The sequence below is a fragment of the Homo sapiens genome, chromosome 3, assembly GCF_000001405.40.
Source record: "Homo sapiens chromosome 3, GRCh38.p14 Primary Assembly".
Classification (NCBI taxonomy): domain Eukaryota; kingdom Metazoa; phylum Chordata; class Mammalia; order Primates; family Hominidae; genus Homo; species Homo sapiens.
The window spans coordinates 1,105,598-1,133,388 of NC_000003.12; the positions used below are offsets into that span (position 1 = coordinate 1,105,598).

The following is a 27,791-nucleotide window of genomic DNA, read 5'->3' on the forward strand; positions in this document are numbered from 1 at the left end:
AGTTAATGTTTCTAAATGTATTTTTATAGCTACAAGTGATATAAAGTTATTGTTCTAGTCTTATTAAAGATAAATCAGTGTTTGTCCCTAATTGCACATCTGGTCATAAGCAAGTCTACAACTTAAAGTTTCCTAAATATAGGTCCAGTGTTATCAACTTTTTACCTCCGGCACCTAGCATTGTCTGGCCTGTGGTGTGTGATCATTAAGTGCCTGCTTAATGAATGTAGATTCTAAGTATACTAGAGAAACATAAATTAAATACATCTGTGCTCATTCCAAGTATGCTATTACAGTGTCATCTAAATCTAATGGTGAACAAAATAGCACATATTAAGATGATATTAATGTTAAACTTCAATTTATGCCTCTGCCCTTGGTAACCATGATAATCCACTCCATGATGAAGCAGTCAGGAAATGTAAGTAGTTATTTATTTCATCACTACAAATTGTATTTGAGACCTGTGTTTTGGAGGTAATCTATATTGTGGGCTCTTCAGGAATTTGGTATGTTAGGAAAATTCAGGACTGCATAAGGGGAACAGGAATAGGTTTGAGGGTAAAAGGAAATTGTAATCATCCCTGAATTAAAAAATAATTTATATGTTACAGACAGGTAAAGTATACACAAGGTGTGTGATATTTTCTTCTTCAAAAACCCTCCCCAAATGTGAGATATATAACTTGCTTTTCCAGATAGTCAGAACAAGAAAGAACTTCTTATTTTTGTTTTAGCTTGCATTTACGTTGCCATAACACATTATGTTAATATTTGATGTTATTTGACTTTGGCAGAACATAATGAAATAAGGTGTTTGACTTTGCCAAAGAGAGTTTTTGGAACAAACCTGTGTTTGATTTAGATCTGAGGCCAGGTGTTCAAGACGAGCCTAGGCAACAAAGTGAGACCCCTGTCTGTAATACACACACACACACACACACACGCACAATCTCTCTCTCTCTCAAACTTTGGCATATTTAGTAATAAATATTAAAGCCATGAAACAAACATATTTTACTTATAGCTTAGAATAATCACCTTTATAAATTTCTTAAGTGATTTGTAGTACACTGTGGACTTGACTGTTACTTTTATATCAGGTTATAAGTAATGTTGGCTAGACGTCTATCCAATGAACTTTCCCTTTCACTTCACATATTCTCTGGGCTCATGGTTAGCCAGAACAATTTAGAAGCCAAAAACATAACCAAAATTATCACATGTATTTTTACTGCATGGTGGGATTATTTTGTTTTATTGACATATATCATTTTGGTCAATAATAATAATAACAATAAAACAGCGTTGAGTTACTCAAATATTAGTTGGGGCTCTTCAGAGAAATAGAACGAATAGTGCCACATTATCTATCTATCTATCTCTCTAAATATATGAATTTTCCCTTTCTCCATTTTCTGTTTTATTAAGGGTCTCAATGGATTACATGATACCTACATTGGAAATGGTAATCTACTTTACTGAGTCCCCTGACTCAAATGCTAGTTTTATCTGGAAACACCCTCACAGACACGTCCAAAATATTATTTAATATGGGCAAACCATAGCCTAGTCAAGTTGACACATAAATGTAATGATCACAATGATACTAGTAAGAGAAATTCAGTTGACCTTGCTGATAAATAGGTATTTTTCACACAAAAGCCAGAAAATGATCATAAAATATGTCATATGGTTTAAAATTATAATTGTTGAGTACCCATTTCAAAATATGATTGTTCATTTGAAGAATAAATTTTAAGTTGGTTCAATTCTATAGATAATTATGACATGACTGAATATTTATTCATGGCAAATCCAAGAGCATTCATTTGCAATTGCCATTCATGTAGATGTCAAAGATGCCACTTTTTATTGCACATATTGTGAGAGGGTAAAACAAATAACCTTTCCTCCTTAAAATTAGATTGCTCATTAAATGTGTCATTAATCATATTTTAGACTCCAAAAGATCAAAGTAAAATGGCTCTGAATTTTAAATTTTCCAGGGTGACAAAAGCTGAACAGTTTATTAATGTTTGACCATGCTCCAGGTGTGGTGGCTAATTTCTGAAGATGATGTTCCTCTCCTTTCAATTGCCTTTCAGCTCTCATGGTAGGTGCTAATGTGTATAATTAGCATGATTTCAGAGTTGTGACCTGAACGACAGACCAATATCTATAAGGGTTGTGGTCCAGCCAGGTTAGAATAATACCAAATTGATATGCAATTAATTGAGCTTGCAAAGAGGTTACTGAAAGGAGTTAGGTCTAAATTGCAGTTTCAAAATAAATCACCCGAAATTATTTAAGAGTATAACTGGGACTCCCCAAAAGTTACCTCCATCTGAAAGGTTTAGATTTGGAATCTCCAGTTGTGATGATAAATATAATTATAATTAAGGCTCTGGGTGTTAATGTCAGTGTTATGCAGAAAATTACCCTAGACATAGATAGCTCCCAGCATCTACATCCCGTTTTCAATTTTATTTCTAATAAAAAAATTTAATCCATTTGAGGTGACAAAATTCCTTAGAGAATAAATGTTTTTTAACCTTGGGTAGTAGAATAAAATATAGAGACAATGACATATATCAAACTCATGGTATTAGAAGTTGTGTATCCCTTATCCAAAATGCTTGAGACCAAAAATGTTTTAGAGTTTGAAATTTTCTGAATTTTGGAATATTCGCATATATATAATGAGATATCTTGGGGATTGGGACCCAAGTGTAAAAACAAAATTCATTTGTATTTTATATAAGCTTTATACATATAACCTGAATGCATTTCTATATGGTATTTTTAATAATTTTGAGCAGGAAACAAAGTTTTGACTACATTTTGACTGTGATGTGTCACATGAGGTCAGGTGTGGAATTTTTCAGTTTGGAGTCCTGTTGGTGCTCAAAAAATTGTAGATCTTGAAGCGTTTCAGATTTTGGATATTGAGCTCTTGAGTGCTCAAACTGTAATATCATTGAGCTGTTTAGAATTAAGTTTGTATTAATTAGAATAGTTTCTACATGTTTGGTGTAAAAAGTGCTTGTTATATTTAAGGCTCTAAGGAGTCTTTGCCAGATTTGATTTGTATTTGCACTTTTAATTTTGTAAATAAATAACTGATTTTAGACTTACCCGTTTAAGTTGAAAAGTACTGTATATAAAAATTAACTAACTTTTTAGAAAAAGTTTTGAAATATTTAAAAGAAGTTAAGATTTACTATTTTGTAAGGGTAAATACAAGAATTAAATTCTTAGGTTTTTCTTGTTAAGGACCTACTGTTGATTTGTCAGACTGTTTAGACACTTTAAGAGAACATAATAATTCAATTTTAGAATTACCATTTAAAATATTTAAAGCAATTGTAGTAAAGTAAGTCAAAAGTCCTGATTGTTTATGTGTGTTTAGTCTGTTCAACATGAAATAATTGAATTTTAATTGTGGCAAAAGAGAAGAAAGTTTTTCTTGTTTTAATAAGATTATAAAAAGAATAACAGACATATAAATGAGGCTAAAAATTTTAAGGGGGAAACAGCGTTTGCATTTGAAATTATAATAAATTTGATATTATGATCCCCGATGAGCACTGGGGCTCTAAGGGGATTCAAGGGACTTGCCCGAGACTACAGAGCAGGAATTCACATACAGATTTTCATATACGAATGCAGTGGCTGTGGTTTCCACATTCATTCTCAAAAACTCAATGTACCTTTTTGGAGATGCATGCAAAATTGTAGAGGAAAAGAAAGTAATATTTAGAATATAGTTTCTAATCTTTTATTGTTAATCTTCTTGTTTACAATTTACCAAGGCAAAAAAGAAACACTTTTAAAATGTCAAAATAATATAAATATTATCTACCATTGTTTTTCTATTCCCAGTTTAATAGACAAGTTTCTCTGTGTGGCAATAATTTTTAACTCTAAACAGAGCCAGTAGCTCCTCTATTACTTTGGACTTTTTAAAAGATATAGTTATTTTGAGTTTGCATTCACACATATTCTAACTTAGAACACACAAAAATTTACATTATTTATTTTCTCTTAACATATTTGCAAAGATTTAGTTATATCTGCAAAAATGATATATTTTTTATTCTTCTATTTTTACCCAAGTTGTTGATGATCTTCTGAGATCCATCTGAACAGAAAAGGAAGAGACACATACTTCTATTTATATACACACTCATATTTTGTGTGTGTATACAACCTTATTAGCTTCTTGACAAAGAAACTAAAGAGATTTAATTTTTAAATGCTTCTTCCCATACTCTATCCTTTTATTATAATTTTTAAGTCTTTAATTATTTTTACATATCTCTTCTATATACAGGTCTTTATAGCTGGGTCCCTACTGCTGACTCAGTTTTGAACTACCCATCGATCTTATCTTAAAATTGTTGTCTAGTTAGTGGAGCATTTATTTATCAGCTTTTCCATTTGCTTGAATATTTTACATGGCCAAATATATATCTGACCAATGTCCTTCTTTAGGAACAGTGCTTTATGTTTTTCACATCTGATATTTACATCAGGTGCATTCAAAAGGCAGTGAACCAAGTCCTATAAAAACAGATAGAAGAATCACTTTTAAGTATTAATGTCAGAAGAAGAGAATTGCTTTTTGATTTAGGAAATGTAAATAGTCAATCTTATTAAAAGATTGACTTTAAAACATATCCAACTCTGCTAAACAATGGAAGAATCTAATCTTTTTTTGATTGAAGAAACCACATAAAACAGGTATACCATCATGGGGAAGGTAGGTACTTTCTGTATTACTGTCAAAAGACAAAAATTGCCTCTTGACTTAGGATTCCATAAACTTTTATGGAGGTGTGCATGGCTGGAAGACATCAATACCATGCATTGTTCCTTGGATGGTGGGCTAGGCACATATTCTAACCTTTGAACATTTCTAAAATAGTATCTTTCAAAGCTGGCAAATTTGGGGAAAAAGAAATTCCTTATACAGACGAAGCTTGAAGGAAGGTGATGTATGTTGTAATGGGTTTGCTAAGATTTTCACTTAATATTCAGCAGCCCTGAGAAGTTTTCTTATCTTCTACTCTAAGTCAGTACTTTGAAAAAAAAAATATGAGGAGCAGGTTTGACAATGTTGTCAGGATTGTGATTGAGATGAAGCTAGAACGATGTGCAGTTGAAGTCCTCCCAGGTCCTGATTCAAATCTACATCTGATTTCATGACCTCTGCTGCATTCCTCTGTCATGAGAAGAGCAGGGACTCTTAGTCCGATGACAGAATCAACCTTACCCTTTGGTTAATTAGAAGGGGCAGTAGTAAAGAACTCGAATTTTAGAGCCAGGCACACCTGGATTTGAATACTTGTCAGATGAACCACTTACTACATGATTGGCCAGAGACATACACTTTGATTTCACTGGCCTCATTTTTCCTATGTGTAAAATTGAGAAATAATAGTTGTCCCACCTCATATGATTGTATGGAGGATTAAGTGAGATTATTGAATCTAAAAGTCTTAGCACAATGTCTGACATACAGCAACTAGTAGTGAATTTCAGCCAGTGTAGCATTATTGAAATTATTATGAATAAGGGACTATTGTAGATGTTATGCGGAAAGCAGTAGTCCCCTGGGGCCATATAGTGAACCCCAGTGCTATTTAGCTCATTTCTATTGTCTACGCATTATATACAGTTCAAATTAGTAACAATCACAACAAGAACAACCATCAATTGATATAGTTTCAGGCACTTTCTTTAGTACTTTAGGCTAACGTATTTAATTCTCATAAAAACCTCAAAGGATATGTGGTATCATTCCCCATCTTATAGAAAAGTAAAATGAGATTCAGAGATGTAAAGTAAATCGGTTAAATAGAAAAAACAGTTGTTAGATTGTAGAGTCAGAATTCAAAACCAGGCAGGCTTTTGCCAAAATTAACGCATTTTACCACCACATTCTTAATTCCCAAACAGAGCACCAAGCACCCTAGGATGCAACAGTGAACTCAGAGAAGGATCATAGGATGTAATTAAATATTCTGGTGAAACAGTGATGCTCAACATCTGTCAATTACTGAGTGTGAGGTAGTTTCATTTCAACACATATCTTATTATATTTCTTTCAATATCATATATTTATTAAAGCTGGGTTTCCAGCGGATGTTGTGGTAAAAAGGAAATACTGTGTGAAATCAGTGTAGAACAGGAAATGAGGCTGGGCAATCTTATTCCAAGTTTTGAAAAGTTGTGCCGTGCCCAGTGGTAGTATGCTTGTTGTAAGTAGAAGTGGGTACTTAAGAATAAAATAAGAATGCTATTTTTCCTCTAATATATACATATTATATTTTTAAAGCATCCTGTAAGTCACTTGAATATAACTTCTTTGAGCCAAAATACTTAAAAATGGAACTATTATGTAGTTATTTTGCCCTAGGGGTGCCATAAAAATGATTGATCCACTAAGGAGATCATGATACGAATAAGCTGGGGAACCTCTGAACTATATTATTCAGTTTATCAGGGAAATATGTAAAACTTAAGGATCAGTTCATCAAACCTCATTAACCACCTGTTACTTCTCAAGTACTTAGAGATTCCTTTCTAAAAGAGCTCACAGCATAGTAAGAAAGATAGACACTGTGTTAGTCAGGGTCCTCCAGAGAGACAGAATCAGTTAAGTATGTGTATAGCTATTATGACAGAAGTTTATTAGAAAAATTGAGACTCTCGATTATGCAGACTGAAAAGTCCCAGGACAGGCCTTTTGCAAGATGGAGCCCTTGGGATGCTGGTAGCCTGGCTCAGTCTAAGTTCAAATGCCCCCAAACCAGGGAAGCCCATGGTTTAACTCAGTCCAAAGCCAAAAACCTGAGAACCTGGAGTGCTTCTGTGTAACTCCAAAAGCTGGAGTTTCAATGTCGGAGGCAGGAGACTAGTGTAGCCCAGCTCTGGAGGCAGAGACCAATTCACCTTTTCTGTTTTTGTTCCATCCAGGCCCCCAGCTGATAGGATTGTGCCCACCCACTTTGAGGACAGATCTTCCCCTTAGTTCACTCAGACTCACATGCTAATTTCTTCTGGAAATGTCCTTGCAGACACGCCCAAAAATAATGCTTCACTAGTTCCCTAGGTATTATTTAATCCGATCAGATTGATCCCTAAAATTAACCATCACAGACACAACGTGCATACTGAAATATAGTGTGTGAACCAAATTTCCAAGGGGCCAGACTCCCAGGCAGGTCACATAAATATTCAAAAGGCCATAGCATTAAGAAGTGAGAGGAAGTTGTATTGGGGAGAAAAGCAAACATAAGAAATTTTCCAGAAGAGATGAATGAAAGAGGTCCAAATGCATGCTATTTATAGAATAATGAGTATGGTAATAATGGAGCCCCCACTAATTACACTATCACTTATTAAATACTTGTTACGTTCCAGGCAATGCATTAGGCACTGGGTTGTAGAGATGAAAGTCAGAGTGACTTTCCTCAGGCTCTGACGTCTCTTGAGGAGTCTGACAAGAAAAAAGTACATTCAGGCAAATGATAAGAGATGAGACTGGAAAGCATGGCTGTGGTAGAAGTAATATATTGCCTGTAACTTCTAAAGAGGCCAGGGACTTTTAGAATAATTAACACAAGGTCTAATTACTTTGGATTAACTAGTAACCAAATGCATTCACAAATATTGATGTTATTCAAATTTGCTTCATCTTACTAAAAAAGATGCTGTATTTGTGTATTCTTCTGCCAAATAAATGAGAGGCATATGTATATTTTTCCAGAATCATGACTTATTCAGTTTATGGACTAATTATTGGTTGAGAAGATAAGTAAATAACAAATTATCATATGAAAAATGTGAGACTGGGAGTAATTAATGCAATAAAATAGATTGCTCAATATGCGAACAACTTCATTGTAAATTCTAGGAAAAGGGCCTGATTTCAGAAGAAAGATAAAGTCATCAAAAGTCTTAAGGATTAAATTAAAAGATAATTTTAAACATTTACTGCTGTAGTATTTAAATTTAATGATTCTGGCAATGAGACTATTGAATATATGCTGTGTTATATGTTTAAGGGGATGGACTCAGGTAGTTAGGATGTGATTATTACTGTCCTACGCCCTCTAGTTAAATCCTGATAGAATTCTAGTTTTAACTGAAGACCTCTATTTAATCATAGGCTGCATCAAGTTGCAGACACAATTCATGAATACTCATATATAATGGCATCATGCTACTAAAACACATTAGTTAAATACTCTCACTCACTCAAATGGTAGAGGAGAATCATCTTTCTAAGATATCTCTCCATGACTACAGTATGGGCACAGAGCAAGGACAATCCTGTCTCCTACATGGTCACCATTCCTTTATTTATTCATTCAGTAGAGATTTTCGTGCACAGAGGCAGCTACTGTGATAGCACAAGTATTACAGAATTCAAAAGAGAAAGAGATGATTTCCAGCTCGGCAATCAGGGAAGTCTTTAAGAAGTAGGTGGCATTCAACTAAAGAATACACTCTTCGGTTCTGTGTGGCTTGATGAGTATACACCATTATAATCGCAGACTTTGGCAGAACGGGAGGGTTGAAATAAGATAAAAGAAAGGAGAAGAGCAGTGGCAAAGGCAGAATGACTGGTAACATTAATTGAAGAATTCTTTATTTGTATTCACCAGTGTGGGCCTCTTTCCTATTTAGCCATCACTTGAATGCACGTTGTCATTAGCTTGCTTTACTCATCCTATGAATCAAGCCTTGGAGATGTTGAGAACCCAGTTTCTGTGTGTGGCAGAAAAGTAAAGAGATGAATAGAAGTAATGACATAGAATAGCATCCTCTTGCTTTTTCCACTATTAATTCTATTCTGCCAGCAGATATTTAGCAGCTTTTTTGTGTTAAGTCCTATGTGGATACAAATTTAAGAAATGACACATTTTCTTTCTCAAGGGGATCACAGGTCAATAGGAACACAGGGATCTGTCAAAGATCATGATAAATGTAATAAATAAGAGAACATAAATGTGGACATAGTAAAATGGTAGACCAGAAAAGGCAAAAGATAATTATTGATGATGGTCAAGGAAGAATACTTCGCAAAAGTGGTATTTTTAGTCTCAAGACATTGAGCAAAGACATTTTTTTTGCTCTGGTCATCCCATAAAATGACTCTCAATAATGAATAGAACAAGAAACAAAAAACTAAATTTCATTTTCAATGAAACATAGGAGAAAAAAGTCACACTAAAGTGCTTTCAAAGGAGGACAACTGGAAGAAGCAAGTGAATTACTGTGCAGACTCCCCTAGAAGGCTCAGAAGCTGGGCATCTTAGGAGGCAGTGGTAGAAATGCTTAAACCTAAAATAGAGGGCTCATCTGAAAGTCTGTCACTTAGACCTTCTTTTTCTCTCAACCTACGGGAGGTTGGAAAATATTTGTAGGTAAATTGAGCTGCAGGAGCAGCACAATTTCAGTTTTAAGACCAAAAAAATAGCAGAAAGCTGGGAGTTTATATGATCCTTCTGTGTATAAGGTGAAAGACACATAAATATAAATAAATGTAACATATGCACATAGGCTCTTAAATACCCATGTTTAGAAATTCCCCAGTAAAAACCAGAGTTAGCCTTGATAACCTAAGAAGAAAGCCCACAAGTCAACAAGCCACAATGATGAGCACAGATAAATGAATGTATTGCTAGGGTTATCACATTTGAGGAGTCCTCAGTAAAAGAAGGTAAGACCCCAACTAAGTAATTACTGGCATTATGAAGAAAGATTAAGAACAGTTCCAAAACATCACCATTTTCTTCATAGAGATTTTAAAGCCTTTTTCAATCATAAAAGGGAAGCTTAAACAATAAACAAAAGGGCCGGGTACGGTGGCTCATGCCTGTAATCCCAGCACTTTGGGAGGCCAAGGCAAGCGGATCACAAGGTCAGGAATTTGAGACCAGCCTGGCCAATATGGTGAAATCCCGTGTCTACTAAAAATCCAAAAAAAAATTAGCCGGGCATGAAGGTGCATGCCTGTAATCCCAACTACTCAGGAGGCTGAGGCAGGAGAATTGCTTGAACCCGGGAGGCAGAGGTTACAGTGAGCTGAGATAGTGCCACTGCACTCCCACATGGGCAACAGGGTGATACTCTGTCTCAAAATAAATAAATAAATAAACAAACAAAAGAACACCAACAGAGAATAAGAAAGAATTTGAGGACGTTTCAGTTATGATAGCCAGACTCACAACAAACAAAAAAGGCAACAAAACAACACTTATTACAAGAATTGTAAGATAAAATTGAATAAATTATCCAGAAAGGAGACTGGAAATAAAAATAAGTTGATGATAGTAGCAGTAACGTCAGAATGCTAAAGAATTTTTAATCCTAAATAAAATGATCCATATCTTGGAACCATAGTGATACAGAGGACACCTTCAGCAAATATGAGAGTAAAATAAAAATCCTTTTTGTATTCCAAAATTATGTAAAATTTATTCCCTGTAATCAGAAATCTGAAGACATGCTCCAAAAATCAGGAATACACAAAGGAAGCTAAAGACAAGGAGTGTAAAACAGGAGAGTCAACAAGGAGAAGGATTAAGGGAAGTCCATTAATAATAGCAGTTTAGCAGGCCTGGAGAAAAACAAATGTGTATTGTAGTAGTGTAGGAAAGGGCTTCAAAGAAATAACTCTAGCAAAATCGAAGGAATGAGTGGATTATCTGACAGGAACTATCATGAGGAAAATTGTATCAAGACGATTTTATAGAGTACTTGAATAGCAAAAACAAACAAACAAACAAAACCTCTTCTGTAGATGCCAAAACAATAAAAGCAATGAAACTTACAAATAAATTATTAACTCTTAAATAAAAAAGCAAAAGTTGTTTACAATGAAAATGTGATCATACTATTTGAATCTTCAGTGGACAACATTTGTATAGGCTTAAGCATGAAAGTACTGAATATGGAATATGGATGGAAAGAAAACCTGATATAGAATTATATTGGAAAACTGAGTGGAGAATAGAGATACAAGAGGGTCGTATTGTTACCTGTTAAAATTGGATGCCAATGGAGAATGCCAAGTCATCAAATCTTTTTTTTTTTTTTTTTTTTTTTTGAGACAGGGTCTTGCTCTGTCGCCCAGGCTGGAGTGCAGTGGCATAATCTCAGCTCACTGCAACCTCTGCTTCCCAGGTTCAAGCGATTCTCATAACTCAGTCTCCCGAGTAGCTGGGATTACAGGCGCCTGCCACCACGCATGGCTAATTTTTGTATTTTTAGTAGAGACAAGGTTTCGCCATGTTGGCTGGGCTGGTCTTGAACTCCTGACCTCAAGTGATCCACCTCCCTCAGTCTCGCAAATTTCCCTCTGTGGCTTCACAGGCATGAGCCACAGCACCCAGCCGGGGAATGCCAAGTCATGAATCAAAGTATCACCGTGTCATAGACATTATTTAGAGATATGGAGGTAAATGCCAGGGAGAATAACTGGAAAATAGAGTGGATGCTTACAGGGAATGGCCTAGGGAAGAGATTTATATTGCCTTTGTTGTTCTCAGGTTTATTTGGCTTCTTAAACACACGTGTGCATTACTTTTATATAAATATAAATAATTGCTTAAAATTAGAAAAATGAATCTCTGACAAAGATTTGGAGTACCATTTGGTGTTTACCAGGTGGACCAAGGACAGAAGAACATGGTAGCCAGAGAGGTAAGAAAGGTTAAAAACAAAAATCAGAAACAGTAAGTCCTGTTCAGGGAACTGCAGGTGGTTTGATATGGCTGAATAATTAGGAGGCAGAAAAGCAATGTGTTATAGTGGTTATGGGTTCAGGCTCTGGACCCTATCTTTCTAGTTTTGTTTGATCGGTATGTGACTTACTGTGTGACCTTACTAAGTTCTTTAACATCTCTAAGCTTTTGTATCAATTTCTATATGTGAAAATTGGGAACTTTAATTTGTACTGCAGGAAATGAACCTACAACCTGTTAGTATGCATTTAAGTTCACCTGCAGATACTACTGGAGAGTTCCAAGCTTCTCTCCTTCAAGTTCCTGCATTGCTCCCTGCATCTTTGAGGTTCCCCAGAACTTGCTAACCAATGCATAGGGCAAACCAGAAATGCTGACTGGAAGTAGCAACAAGTGATTTAATGTTCCCAGAGGTATTCCTGAACTGATGAAGTAAAAGAGTAGGTTGATAAATATACCAGGTTCTCCATCCCTTTATACAGCAATTCTAAAGTGTATATTATATAGAACCTCAGTGGGTCTACAGAGAAACTGAGCTTCAGTTCTTTGCAGTGTGATTCACACCATTCTGCACATTTTACTGAATTTTCTCCCTTCCCTGTCTCACTTTCTCCACACTCTGATTTGTGCTTCTGGTAATCACTTCCCAAATAAGCCCTTGCCTCAAGGCCCGCTGTTGAAGAAAGGCAATCTAAACAAATACCTATGCCATGTTTTCAAGAGGATTAAATTATATGCTCCGTACTTAGTAAGGCTAAATATGTAACTCTGCTGCGGTGGTTGTTAAATGCCAGCATACGAGGAAAGTTCATTTATGCCTGTATTATCAGTTAAGTTATTATCCTAAAGGTGAAGAGAAGCCTTTCACAAAATGAGTTCAATCCACAGGACTCGGTGACTCACTGAACACGTGTGGTGAGGAGCGGGGCTAGGGAAAGATAGTGCTCTGAATGACTCACAGCTTTCTAACCTGTATATGACCTGTACGGAATAGTAATGCTCACAAGCAAGAAGCATAATAGAACAATTACAGTTTTATTTCTAAACAAAGCCTAAAGTCCTGGTTTCATAAATGAAGAAAATAATGCTGTCTAGGTAAACAATTTGGCCAAGATTCACAATTCACTGATCCAAAGTCCTAAGTCCCCCAATAATGTCCTTTTTCTGTAAGTTTTTTCAACTATCATTCATCTTTATTATTCTTGTCTCTTGAGGTCATGATTGGTGCACAGGTGGTCAATATAGGTAACATAATTGCTGAAAGAATTAATAAAGATTTATTTCCTAAATCGATCCAATTCATGTTGTTTTCTTCTATTCAAGTACTGGTCACTTGGTCTTTCATATAGTCATGTCTCTCTAATTCATAATTTAATGGAAATTATTTTGGCAACTCCAGCAGACATCTGAGAGATAAGCATAGCTTTTGTATTGTTAGTGTTTTCTGCCAGACTGAAGACCTTGGTGTTAATAAGATGGCTGCTTTCCAATACCTCTTAAAAAAAAAAAAAACAAACAAAACAAAACAAAAAAACACCATTTTCCTCTCTCCTTTTTCTTTTATTTACAAATGTAATCTCTGATCCATGAATTCATAAGGTGAGAACGGTGAGTGGCTAGCTTTTTATGGGACCATACATAAAGGGCTAAATTCAGTGATCCATCTCCCATCTTTCTAACTACTTAGGGAAGGAATTTGAAAAGAAGTCAATGTGGCAGATTTGAAGGAGAGGCTGTTGGAAAGTGTGCCACAGGCTTTTTTACATTCTGTCTTCGAGACAATTTGAGTCTGCATTTTTTAAGTGAAACTATTAGTAACGTAGTGATTTCAGGTTTTTTTTTTTTAAGTTGGTAGATGTAGGTCATAATAGGACTATAATTTTATTTATTTATTGATGGTCTGATTTTAAGCCCTTAGAATATTAATGTCTAGGAACATTTGAGAAAGAATAACAGAAAAATCGTGTGTGTGTGTGTGTGTGTGTGTGTGTGTGGAGAATGTCTCTTTGGCCCAGATAAACTCTTCGAGCTTTGACATCTTAAAAACTCTATGATTACCATATTTTTATACATAGTCAGATACATATAGGTTCATAGTCCTGAGAACTGGTTAAACTGAGTTGTCTTATTGCCAGGGTCTGAGGAAATTTGAAAGAGAGCATCATAGAAGACAGTGTGTTGAACACTGTTAGGCTAGTAACAAAAGAATGAGAGCCACAAGACTAAAAGAGAATTCCACTTGTGCGTAAACAGAACTTCAGTTACTAGATAAGCATGGCTTTTTCCTCATTTTTCTACCCTTTCCTTTATTCACTTTCCATCACCCCCCTTAGTTCCCTCCAAAATATGAAATTGTCATTGACTTTATTAAGATATAACTCACATATAACAAAATGCACACATTTTATGGGTCCAGTTAAATGAATTTGAAAAACGTGTATGCCCATATAAATCCCTGTTCCTCCCTATCAAAATACAGAATACTTATATCACCCAAGAAAGTACTTTCACACTTTTTTGAAGTCAATCCTACCACATTTCTTGCCTACAATGACTGATCTGATTTTGATCACCACAAATTAGTGTTTTTCTGATTCTAGAACGTTATATAAATGGAAGCATGTAGTACGGTGCTTTATGTTGGACATTTAGTTCAGCACATTGTCAGTTTCATCCATGTATTTACACAAATCACTACCTTTTTCCTTTTTATTGCTGAGTAGTATTCCATATGCCACAATTTGTTTATCCATTCACCTATTGATGGATGTTTGGTTTTTTTCAAGTTTGGGCTTATTATGAATCAAATTCCTATTAACATTTAAGAGCAATTCTTTGGGTAGATACATGTTTTCATTTGTCTTACATTCTACTTTAGAGAGGAATTGATGGGTTATATGTGATGTTTATCTTAGTAAATGTTTTTGAAAGTGGTTGTGTCATTTTACATTCCTGCCAGCAATATACGAAAGGTTTAGCTGTTCTACCTCGTCATCAGTGTTTGGCATGGTCAGTCTTTTTAGTTTTAGTCATTATTCTGGGTATGAAGTGCTATATCTCATTGTAGCTTTAATTTGCATTTCCCTAATGACTTATCTTTTTATGTACCTATTGACTCTACATATTTTACTTTGTAAAGTGTTTATGAAAATATTTTGCCTATTTGCTTCTTTTTAATATTATTGTTTTATATATTTTAGACACAACCTTCTATCAGATATATGTATTTTGAATATTTTCTCTCAGCCTCTGAAGAGCAGGTAGTCTTAATTTTTATAAAGTCAAATTTATCTATATTTTTATGGTTGGTCATTTTTGAGTCCTAAGAAATCTTTGCTTATCCCAAGGTCACAAATATTTTCTCCTATGTTTCCTTCCAGAATTGTATAGTTTTAGTTTTTATGTTTACTCTGTGATCTATTTAAAATTGATTTTTGTGGATAGTGTAGAGTTTCATACAGATATCTTGTTTTTCTGATGTCATTTTTTGGAAAGATCATATTCCTGGCTAAATTACTTTCTTTATTACAAACTTGGAAAAGCCTTTTTAAAGCCTCTTAGCTTTTATCTAATGGTAGAGTACATAAAGTCTTCTAAAGTTTGTTTGGAGATTAGCATTATTCCTTTGAATATTTTCTACATTTCTGATTTTATTTAAAATATGAACATAGTAGATAGGACACATACTACATAATGATCATTGTTTAATAATATAGAAAGTAAATTAATATAGCCAAGTCACTGAGTTGGGAAGAAAGTGTGTGCAGTTACTGGCCTCTTTATTTTCTATGTAACTCCCTTTCCTTTTTCTGTGTCTTCATATGTATGTAAATATTTCTTGAGAGGTATGTAGTACTGAGCTACTCTATTGGAACACAGAGTTAAACAAATTGACAGGATCATTATTGATAGGAGCTTCAGGGAAAACATTGTTAGAACTAATCATTACAAGTTTTTTGAAATTGAATCTCTTATTTATAAAAAAGCACAGAAACATCAGTATTCCATAGCTCCTTTATAAGGTCTTTGTGTTATGAAGCTCATGTTGCAAGATGGATATTGAGTAGTTTGCCATATTAATTTTGATTTGTATTTATTTGTAAATATGATTTCATCACATTAAAACAAGAGCTACAATAACAGAACTTTAAGTAAGAGTTAAAAATATTCACCACCAATCTATTTCTCCTACCTTACTGATTTCACTTGCCTGTATTCTTTTGCTAATCTTTGTATATAGTCAGAATGTTTATATAAGGATAACCATACTACAGAAATGGTTTGCCTTTCTGATTTTTTTTGAAACATATAAGATTACAAATATTTTTCATGTTGCTACACAGCCTTCATATTTATCCATTTTAATGACTACGAAGTAGTCTAGTAAGTGATGGATAGTAAGACCATCATTTACCTATTTTATTACTATTGTTGAGTTTAGGTAGGCCACACATTTTTGCTTAGAGCTGACTCCAAACATGAGAAAACACATGTGTATTGCCTTTTCCTTCTTTGTATAATTTATATTTAGAATATCAGCATAATTAAGTGCTTGAGAATAAAGAAGCTAGATTTTTGTATTGAAATCCCACCTTTGCCATTTTCCAGCTATTTCACTTTGGGCAGGTGTTCTGATCTCTCTAGACCTCAGTTTTCTTATTTGTAAAATAGGGATAATAACAGTGCCTGCCTCATATATTTTTCATGAAGATTAAATGAATTATTTTTTTGCAAATCAATTACAGCAGTAAAATGAATGTAAAAACTATATAAATGTCTTCTTAAAGTTCTGGTTAATGGAACTAGTATATTAATTTAATTTATATTGTCCCTGAATGTATGTGCATATCCAGATATACCACAGTATGACCCCAACCTTGCAGGAAATATACATTTACAAGAAAAAAGAAAGAGAGAGAGAGGAAAAGAGGAAGAGAGAAATAAATAAAGGAAAAAAAGGAAAGAAAGAAGGGAGGGCGAGAGAGAGGGAAGGAGGGAAGGAGGAAGGAAGGAAGGAAGGGAGGAATGAAGGAGGAAAGAAGGGGTTCTCAACCAGCGGTGATTTAAAAACACAGTTTATTGAAGTATAATTCCCATGACATAAAAGTAACCGTTGTAAAGTGGACAATTCGGTTGCATTTAATACAGGCACGATGTTGCACAACCACCACTATCCTCTTGGAAAACATTTGCATCAATCCAAAGAAAGAAGCTCTTACCAATTAGTAAATTTCTCCCCATTTTCTCCCTTTCACTTTCCAGGCCGCAACAACTACCAATCTGTCCTCTGCCTATGTAGATTTATCAGTTCTGGATATTTTGTATAAATGGATTCATGCAATATATGACCTTTGTGTCCAGCTTCTTTCACTTAGTATAATATTTTCAAGGTTTATCTACGTTTCGGCGTGTGTCAGAACCTCATTGCTCTTTATGGCTGAATAATATTCCATTTTATGTACATATCACAATTTGTTTGTTAGTTGAGCATTTGGGCTGTTTCCACCATTTGGCTATTTTGAATGTGCTACTATAAGCATGTGTGTACAGGTACTTGTTTGAGTGCCAGTTTTCAGTTATTTAGGGTATATACCTGGGACTGAAATGATAGGGTTACAAGGTGGTTCTATGTGGAGTTTTTTGGAAACCACAAAACGTTTCCAGTACCACACTGTTTTGATTATCATACATTCATATTTAGCTTTAAAACTGGGAAGTATAAGTCCTTCAAGTTTGTTCTTTTTCCAAGTTATTTTGGCTATTCAGGCCCTTGCAATTACATAGAAATTTGAAAATCAGCTTTTCCATAACCGTTTTCTAAAAAAGCCATTGGAATTTTAACAGGGATTGCCTTGAATCTGCAATCACATGAGTAGTTAACACTGACATCTTAACCACATTAAGCCTCCTAATCCATGAACATAAGATATCTTTCTATTTATTAGATCTTCTTTAATTAATGTCAGCAATATTTTCTAGTTCTCAGTGTACAAGTCTTTCACTTTCTCTGTTACATTTATTCATGGGTATTTTATCCTTCAGAATGCTATTATACGTTGATGTTTTTTTCTTAATGTGCTTTTCAGATAATTGCTGGCATATAGGAACATAACTAATTTTTGTCCTTATTTTTTATTTGTTTTTTAATTTAGTTTATAAAACTAATTTTTATATTTTGATCTTCTACCTACAACTTTGCTGAATTTGTCCTTTAGTAGCTTTTTGGAAGACTGAGATTTTTATATGTAAGATTATGCAATCTGCAAATGGACATGGTTTTGTTATTTATTTTCTTCCCAATTTAGATACCTTTTATTCAGTTTTCTTGCCTACTTGCTCTGGTTAGAACTTCCAGTACAGTGTTGAACAGCAATGGTGAAGGAGACTATTCAAGTCTTGTTCCCGATCAGAGTGGGACAGATGTCAGTCTTTTACCATTGAGTATGATGTTAGTTGCAGGTTTCCCTCCAATGTCCTTTATTTTGAGAAAGTTTCTTTGTAGTCCTAGTTTTCTGAATGTTTTTATCATGAAAGTGTTTTGGACTGTGTTAAATGATTTTCTGTGCATTAATTGATATGATCATATGAGGTTTTCTCTCCCCTTCATTCTATTAAGATGGGGTATTCCTCTGATTGTTTCCTTATGTTGAACCACCCCTACATTCCTGGGACAAATCCCGATTGGCCATAATGTATAATTCTTTTAATATTCTGTTGGACTAGAGGTGATTTTGGCTCCCAGTTTATATTAGCAATGTCAAGATATTTTTGATTGTCATAACTGGAGGAGGGTGCTACTGGCATCTGGTGCATGAAGACAAGGATGCTCCTGGATGTTCTACAACAGAGAGGAAAGCGTTCCTTTGTCTCACAACAAAGGATTAGCCAGGCCAACGCGCCAACACCACCCAGATTGAGAAACCCTGAATTATACCAACCCTGCTACTATTCTTGGTATACCCCACCCTTATCTCTCTAGCCTGTCATTCTGTCTTTTCCCCTCCATCTCCTCCAAACACATAACTTTGTGTTTCAGTACTCCAACCACACTGAACCTCACTTAATTTCTTCTCTTAGTCAAGTTACCTTTGGCCTATTATCTTCCACACCTGTACTTTTTCTAATCCGAACATCCTGTCCCATAAGAATGATATAATCGAGTTTGGGGACTCAGGGTTGGGGGAGATTGGGAGGGACCTGAGAGATAAAAGAACACATATTGGGTATAGTGTACACTGGTCTAGTGATAGGTGCTCTAAAATCTCAGACATCCCTGCTAAAGAACTTATACATGTAACAAAAAACCACCTGTATCCTAAACATTATTGAAATTTTTTTTAAGAGAAAGAACATCCCTTCCGCTTCTTCACTCCCCAACATCATCACCTGGTTTTACTTATTATGATTCAATTTTCGGCCACTTCCTCCATGAAGATTTTCTGACTTTCCTTAGACCAAATGAGTTACTTGTGCTGCATTTTTCCCAAACACCAGCATTGCCCATGCCATAGCACTTATCAGAGTTTATTAAAATCACGTGTTAATTTCTACAAGGTCTGGGAGGGTCGTATTATTGCTCCTATTTGCTCACTATTGTATCTTCAAGACCCAGATCAGTGCCAGTCACAAAGTAGTCATTTTGTTATTCTTGTTTTTAAGTTATAGAATGAATACAAGAATAAATGAATAAATCAGCCTAAATTTTTCTGTATCTGGAACATTCAGGAAATGTGATAGTTAAGAAATATGTTAATGTTTTATGTGTGTACACCTCAGATATGCCTGAGAAACAGAAATAACCAATGGAAATATTTTTATTTTAGTTATCTAAATCTTTACTTATCTGTCTTGGCCCTAATTGACTAAAACTATATCTGATTTTTTAAAAATTCTCAAATGTTTGATTCAGTATCTGTGCAGACTGAGACACAGACCCAAAGCTTTACAGTGTGAATTTTTAAAACTAAATCTTGAATAAATTATCAGATACATAAGCAAAATTTGGAAGGGAAATTTGGGACAAAAGAAAGCAGTTCATTTTAGCCTTTTACATCAATGGGCTTGGAACATGACTTCCAAGGAATTGCTGGTGTTCCCTGGCAGTGCCCAATTTCTGAAGAAAGAAGCAAAATGTAATCTGCACACAGTCAAATGCCAGAGGCAATGTGAGTATTATGCAGGTTCAAACCAGGTCAGAATAAAAATGACTACTAACCAGCCATTCAGCTTGTAAAATGATAGAAGAACTAGTTCTTGCTTATTGCCCTTAACAAATATTAAAAAATAAGTCAGAGTGTCAGCTACTAGATGCACCAAGTTTTAGTGCTGCTTTATGGGCTAGAAGTGTTTCAAGTAAGAGTTGGCTGTGATGTGAATTTCTGTAAATTAAAGCTTAGCTTTCCACTTAATCTAATCAAAGTACCGGTAATATATTCTAATGATGATATGACAACCACAGACATATTGAGATAGTATCATTTTAGGAGAAAAGATTTGAGACAAAAGCCAACTCCATGTTATGATGGTGAACTAGATAATGTTCTGCTTTTCGGGCACTGTAGTTTTCAGTTTGCTTTTAGTTTCAGTTTGGCTTTAGTTTGGATTTATATTTCACAGGATTTTTCAAATTGTATTCTCTCTTTCCACCGTTAACTATACCCCAAAACACGCTAGAATCGTAGGAATTCTCCTAGGCCTAAGAATCTTCTCAAGCAATATTATTTACCCCAGAGTATTTTTGTCTTTCCCATATGATTGTCTAAATATTTAAATCAATGACTGATTTTGAGAAAGTTGCTGGTTTTATTAGCTTATTTTCCTTGAAGGCTTTCTAAGCCTCCATTCCTCACTGGAAAATGGAAAGGTATACCGAAAGTTGAATCAGTATGTGATTTTCAAAAACATGTATATACATGTATTCAAATGTGTCCTAATTATAAATGTTTATTAAAATAAATATGATTCTACTGGTTAAGATAAACCAGATTCTCTAATTTCCCTCCTTTGTCTTGCCATGTAGAATGGTGAGAGTCCATTTGGCTCAGAGAATGTTCAGTTTGACCTTTTCCAGTCAGTTTATCTAAAGCAGCAGCAATGATTTCCAATCTCATTATACCCCAGGTCACTGTCTTATTATCACATTTATTCCCCTCTTCATACTTATCACAATCTTTGTTAATTGTAACTCTGCCTATTTTCCTACTGTCTGTCACCACCATCTTTAGAATAAGAGCTCCATCATGGCAGTGAGCATGTTTGCCTTGTTCAATTTTGTATCACTGACATGAAGAGCTCTTAGCACACTCATCAATCAATATTTGTTAAATGAGCTTTTCTTGGCTGCAGACACCACATTTTATTGACTGGAAACAATGTCTTGAGCCAAGCCTGAAGAGAAGAGAAAGTCATAATCTTTACATTCAGAGTTACTTCCTGTGTCCCTTCAACGTGATTCTTCCAACATCACCAAGGAACTTCCTACATGATTGAAGAAAAGATAGAAAGAAAGTCATCTGGAGAGTTAACACATTTCCCATTGGTGCTGAATATTATCTCCTAATATTCTGAAGATGTCATCACCAGGTCAATGGAATCTCAATATCCTAAGTTATATATAGACATCTGCATACATATGTACATTATATACAAATACAATATTATTTAATACAAATTATATAAAAGTATACAAATTATATAAAAGTAAATTTAGTTTTTATATATTTTATATGTGCTATATATAATTTATACATGCTTCTGTAAAAGTGTTTACTATTTCATTTACGAGCAAAATAGAAAAGTTGAAAATGCCTGTTTTTCCCTACTAAGGGATGTGGAAATAGGGTTGCTTCAAAGACACATTCTAGCACAGTTTAATAATAATTACTCAATCACCACAGACAGGAAAAAGTTAATTTATTTGGAAACTCAACTTTATATAAATGTTACTAGTATATACCAATGACAGTATTACATAATGGACAAAAGGATAAATATTTAATAAGTTTGATACTTCAGGTACAGTAAGTAAAAATCCATTTTTAATTACATAAATTCTTTAAGTTTAAAGTTACCTAGTCAAATTTATCTGTACTGATAGCTGCTGTCAGAATTACATGTAAACGCATAGACCTCTCTAAGTGATTATGTTGTATTCTTCTATAACAATGAGATTCAGTAAAAGCCGTAAATGATAACACTAGCCAATAATTTGATTCAACCAACACAACCAGAAGAAGCCTGTGAAGTCAATAAACCAGTTCCATGTCTTATATACAAAAATAATAGGTTGATTGAATTTTTACTTTCTGAATCTGTTACTTTGATACTTATTCTAGACATTAAATATATTTTGTTGATTGAATTTTTGCACACTGAGAAAATACAATCTAAATATAGCTGGAGGGTCTTTTCTATTTTTTTCCAAATTTTTCAGGCCTTTCATTCGGCCAAAGCAACAATTGATGTGGTATTTTCTAATATCTGATACAGCTTTTCAATTTTGTGTGTGTGTATATATACATGAAACACAGATTGTTCAAGGGGAACAGAAGCCTATGAGATATAGAAACCAAAGGATATGCCTTTTAAATTGAGTGAGCACAGTCTTTAGGGCCTACAGTTTCAAAGTTTTGTATTAGGGAATGGCTGACCACAGAAATTTTTCTAAATTAAGTGCATACCAACTAGAATTACACAATTGGCTTCCGTTTTGCTACTTGAAGCTCCCACCTTGAGCTGGTTTCACTCACTTATTGTTGAATTATAGAGACAGTTGTAACTAAATTTGACTCTTTTACCTCATCCTTTTGAAATTGTGATCTTTCTTCCATCTCCAAATATAATTTTGCAGACCATGACCTTCAACATTACTTCTGCATCATAAATGTGATTTTGGCATCTTGTTGCAGAATGCCTACTCTGAGGCCTTAATTCTCACATCTGATGATACCCTGAGGATGACATGTGAGGCCAAGAGGGAGTGAAGCCTCATCCCCACTTTGTGCTTCTTTATTAACCAGGTAACAGTTATAGTGTTCTTTGTCATCTGGTCAACATCACTAATTTATCCTGTGCACAATTGGAGGATCACCTAGTCCAACTGCCTCCCCACTCCACAATTTGTCAAAGAGCTAACACTCAATGAAGCAAAGTACATTCCAAAAATCACACAGAAAATTAGGCATGGTACCTGCACCAACACTTAAGTATATAAATCAACGATTATCTAGAGAAGCCTGGAGTGATGGGATCATTGAGTTTAGAAACTAAGAACATAGCTGTGCTGGTTTTAGAGAAATAAAGTCACTATTCACCTATTCTATTTTCCTTTTCCTTTTGAGTGCCAACATCCTCCTGCAGATGCATATATTTATTTACAGAGCAACATGCTTGTGTTAGCTGTTTGTTTCTAAAGTTTTTAAAAAAATGACATTAGAACTTCCAATTTTCTCTTTAGCAACCCAAACACATTTAAATTATAAATTGAAATATATTGCACTTTTAATAGTTCAAGCTTTCTGAGTACTATTCAGTTCCATAAAACCATTTTGGATAGGTAACTTTTTTATTTCTTATCTTCTCTAATCTTCACTTCAATATTGGAACAACTAGATATATGCCTTCTTTTGTTTGCATAATTTTTCTTTTTAGTGTTTATGTAAATACATAGAAGGTAAAAATTAGTGAACTATATTCAAGGAAGGGTGTTAGAATACTAATGTAGCTAATGCTGTGCTTGGGAACTACTTAGGGAGAAATAGATTGGTTTAAAAAGGAAGTTATAGAATTTAATCAATCTTGAGAGACCAGCAGCATGCTATTGTGGAACTATAACTTTAGAGAACATCTATATGACAGTATGATCACCAAAAACTTCAGCATATGCTGCCAAGATAATGTGCATATTTTAAGTGCAAGTTAGAGGGCTCCACCTTCCCTTTTTGCCTGTGGTCTCCTGATTATAGCACTCAAAGTATTGCATCTGGGTAATCCTCCATTCCCAGGCGACTTGAGAAATTTGATCCCGTTGGTGTGACCAAAATTTCCAAGTGAAATACAGAAATTGTACCGTCTTCATGCATATAGGCACAGGCTGGGGAAAGGTTTGGGATGACTTTTGGCTTTGCCCTTTCCTGTTTTGTGACCTACAGTAAATTACCCAACTTTCTGCACAGTCACTTTGCATTTTTTCGTAAAATGTGAATAATAATGCCTTTCTCACACTTATTTTGGAGATTAAACATAAATATGAATGTGCAATGAATTCTAATATGCAAAGTGCTATATTTATTAAATATAAGATGTTTTCTGTAACTCCAGCAAGTTTCCAGTGTCAATGTTGGTATATCCAACACTTCCTACATGACATCTGCTGGAGGCACATGTCTATAACTGAAAGTTAAATGTATGTGACTTCTACATGAATTTAAGTATGAATTTCTATATATTTATCAATAGTTATTGATTTCACGTCTCAAGTCATGCTTTTGAAAACTATTTACATCAAGACTCTATTCATTTGTATAAAATAGTTTGTTTTTTAAAAACAGTTTTTCAAGACTTTTATAAAATAATATCCTTTTGAATAGATACATACATATACAGGTAAATCTAGATATATTTTTAATGTTGAGTTTAAGAAGTAGTTTAAAAAGCAAATCTTTAATTTTTAGTGTGATTTATCTATTAAAAGTCCTGTCTTCTCTATATTCTCTCTACTTAATGAAAAAGCCGATTGCAAAACAAGAAGATTGATTAGGGGTAATAAGCTTGGTATTCTAGTAATAAAAATCCTTGCCAAAGTCCAATCTTTACACAGGACATTGACTTTATTTCAAGGCCAATTTCTAACCCTATATCTAAAACATGGCAGGGGTTTAATCATTGTAGCAGATGCTGTCTATGCCCTTAGTGAATCTCCTACCCTCACTCCCTTCACCCCTAGGATTTGCCACTGTAACCCTGAAAGATAACACGGTGAAAACCTAACTAAGTATCCCTGACTGAAGGCTATTTTCTGGCCTAGGAAGCGTGCTTTCCTCCAAGCAAGAAAAAGCAGAAGTGCCTGAGAGTTAATGCTCCCCAGAGCAACTCTCAAGCAATTATAGATGGGGAATTGATAAATAAATACCCATCTTTCTAGCCCCGTTGTTGAGTTCCTGAGCATTGTTCTGCACCACCTTCCAGTGGTCCCCAGAGGAACTGAGATCCAGTTGATGACACTGGCAAATGGCTTGATAACAAACCTTCACTGGCTTCATTCTCTTTCTGAGTAACCCACTATCCTAGCAATGTTTCTTGGGATCCCAACTAAACTTGCATTCAAATCCTTGATTCAGAATCTATTTTGGGGGGGATCTCAAATGAAGACAACAATGTTTGATCAGTACATCAATTGACATGTATGAAAAAATGTGCACATATGCAGACAAGAAAGCTTCTGCCTGTCTGTGTCAAAATAGGAATGATTTGTCTTTCTTTAACCTGGTTTATAGCAACTATTAGAAATGGAATTCAACTAAGTGTTGCAAGAAGTCCATCATTTATAAATTAAGATGGAACTTACTTACTGTACTTTGTCTCCAGAGATTCTTTGAGTGTAAATAACATAGACAAAATCATGGAATATTAAGAATGGCAAAGGAACTGAGAACTCTTTCTCACAGCTATCAGGTTGTTCCAGCGAAATAACAGGCAGACCCTGGAGATGTTCCATAAAGCTGGCTGCTGCTAAGGTCTGCTCTGATACCTGCTATGTGATAAAAGTTCCTGACACTTAGCAGGAGTTGATGTCCTGGTATTCCACCTGCAAATGGTAGGTCTGCAGGGCACACCAAGCACGATGATATTCATCCTGGAAATGTAGTGCTGAGCTCAGAAGTAAGTAGGGTGTTAATTATCCATGACTAGTCACATAAAATCATGTCTTATACTCAGTTCTGGCCTGGAATGCAGGGTACACAAAGGGAGGTACTCATTGATACCAGCAGGAGCTATATGCAAGCTTCCAAAGGAACAATTAGTCCTTCAGTGCCTCATTCAAAGGCTGCTTAGGGGGTTGCTCTCCTTGACCTTGAGTTAATGGGAGTATGAGTGTTCAATGAATGGAGATTAGCCCCAGAAGACAGGGAAGCAAATTAAACCCCTATTTTGATTTGAATTGGGAGTGAATAAAGTGTTCACTGCTCACTAAACTCAAGTGAAGTTAACATGCAGGAATGAATGGAGACTAACTTCTCTGTGTGGCAAGGAAGACCTCAAGGCAGTTAGCACCTGGGAACCTCCAGGGATAGAGCTGAGACAGAGGTGGTCATTCATCATTCTCTGGGGTGATAAGAGTTTTTCAGTAAATGCTGTATCAATGTAGATAAATCTTCCTAGAACCAATAAAAATGCCCTTTGCCTTTTCTATCTTCTGTTACAAGTAATTGCTATTCACCTTGTTATGAATATCTTGAAAGTAGTCACAGAGTACTTGGAGTGCCTGCGGGATGGAAAGTTTGAAGGAAAAATGTAGCCGTATATCATTGGCATTCATGAGAAAATTCAGATTAGATGTTTGAAAGGCAGGTCCCCAGGAGGCAATAGAGAAATCAGGAACAATATTGTGCCAAAAATACCACTCTGGCCAGGACATCAGGGAGTTTATGTCAGGTAGAGTGAAGGAAAGCAATTTGGAAAGAAAAGATATATGTGCTTTTCTATATGCATTTAGTTTATTTATATGCGTACATCCTCTGAAAAACTAGTATGTTCTGGGAATCGACAAGCAGATTGGGCCTGACACTTCTAAAATATGTAACTGTGTTTATGTTTCTTTTACTCTAAAAACTCTGAATAACATCTTGTAATATGATCAATACTTTTTCAAACTCATGTCTTTTAAAAATCTGTTTGCAACCAATAAGCCAAAAATGGGATGTGCTCAAATATCATTTTACATTTGGGAGGTCAAGTTTATGCCATTGGACTTTACGTGCAGATTACAAAATATTTTTTCTTTCTAAAGACACACCTACTCTGGTGTCCTAAAAATCAGTTATCTCATTGATGACACACCAGAGATATATGTTTTTTAAAATGTGGGCTGGGTATGGTGGTTGAAGCCTGTGATCCCAGCTCTTTGAGAAGCTGAGGCAGGAGGATCATTTGAGACAAGGAGTTTGAGAATAGCCTGGGCAACATAGAAAGACCCTGTTTGGGGCAGGAGGATCATTTGAACCCAGGGGTTCAAGGTTGCAGTGAGCTGTGATCCCACTACTGCATTCCAGCCTGGATAACAGAGGGAAACTCTGTCTAAAAAATAAATAAATAAATAAATAAATAAATAAATAACGTGAAGATGTTGTGGATGATATCATCCTTGCTGGGGGTCACTTTACTGCACAAAGAATTTCACTTCTTTCCCTCTTCTAGAGTGTTTGAATAACAGTCACTTGACGACAGTTAGTTCAGCTTAAGCCTACTTACTTTTCTTCATTCCCTTTATTTAAAAAAGTCTTATGTGTCTGCTTTCAAGGAGACTCTCCTGAATTCTATCAAGATAACAAGAAGAACAATAACTCAAAATTATTATTGCTTCTGAGAGGCTTTTTCTATAATATACCTGAAATACATTTAAGGCACTCATAAGTAGCAACCAATCACCCACTCATTCATTGAATAAATATAAGTTAGTGCATCATGTATACAAGGACACATACACAAGATCCTGAAAAATACACCAAGCAATATGCCGAAAAAGGAGACGTGCCGCAAATATTTTGTTTATTCATTAAAGATAAATTGATTAGAAGTTGAAAGGAAAGTGGAAGTACTTTTAAATGAAGGTTTAATGAAAATTTCGTAGAATAAGGTCATCGAATCTTGACAATGATAAAAATTAGAGAATTCCAAGGAGATGGACCAACATAAACAAAGATAAGACATTCTTCAAATAACTTGATCTTTTCAATTTGGTTGTTTTGTACTTACTTTTGTAGTAATAATAATAATAATAGCAGCTAGTATGTATTGAGAGTGCAGACTGCC

General features: G+C 34.9%; 1 protein-coding gene across 20 annotated transcripts in view; it reads left to right on the forward strand.

The window, feature by feature from the left end:
* Positions 1 to 27,791, forward strand: part of CNTN6 (contactin 6) — a 311,194-nt gene that overhangs the window by 12,574 nt on the left and 270,829 nt on the right. For 3 of the 20 annotated variants that reach the window (NM_001349354.2, NM_001349361.2, NM_001349353.2), the window contains exon 2: positions 22,670 to 22,780. The exons of 11 other annotated variants lie outside the window; for them this stretch is intronic. The gene's annotated coding sequence lies outside the window, so the exon portion shown is untranslated. Of the gene's footprint in view, positions 1 to 2,009; positions 2,117 to 21,107; positions 21,345 to 22,611; positions 22,781 to 27,791 lie in introns of all 20 variants that reach the window. 6 more of the 20 variants (NM_001349351.2, NM_001349350.2, XM_047447972.1 and 3 more) reach the window with 5 other exon arrangements.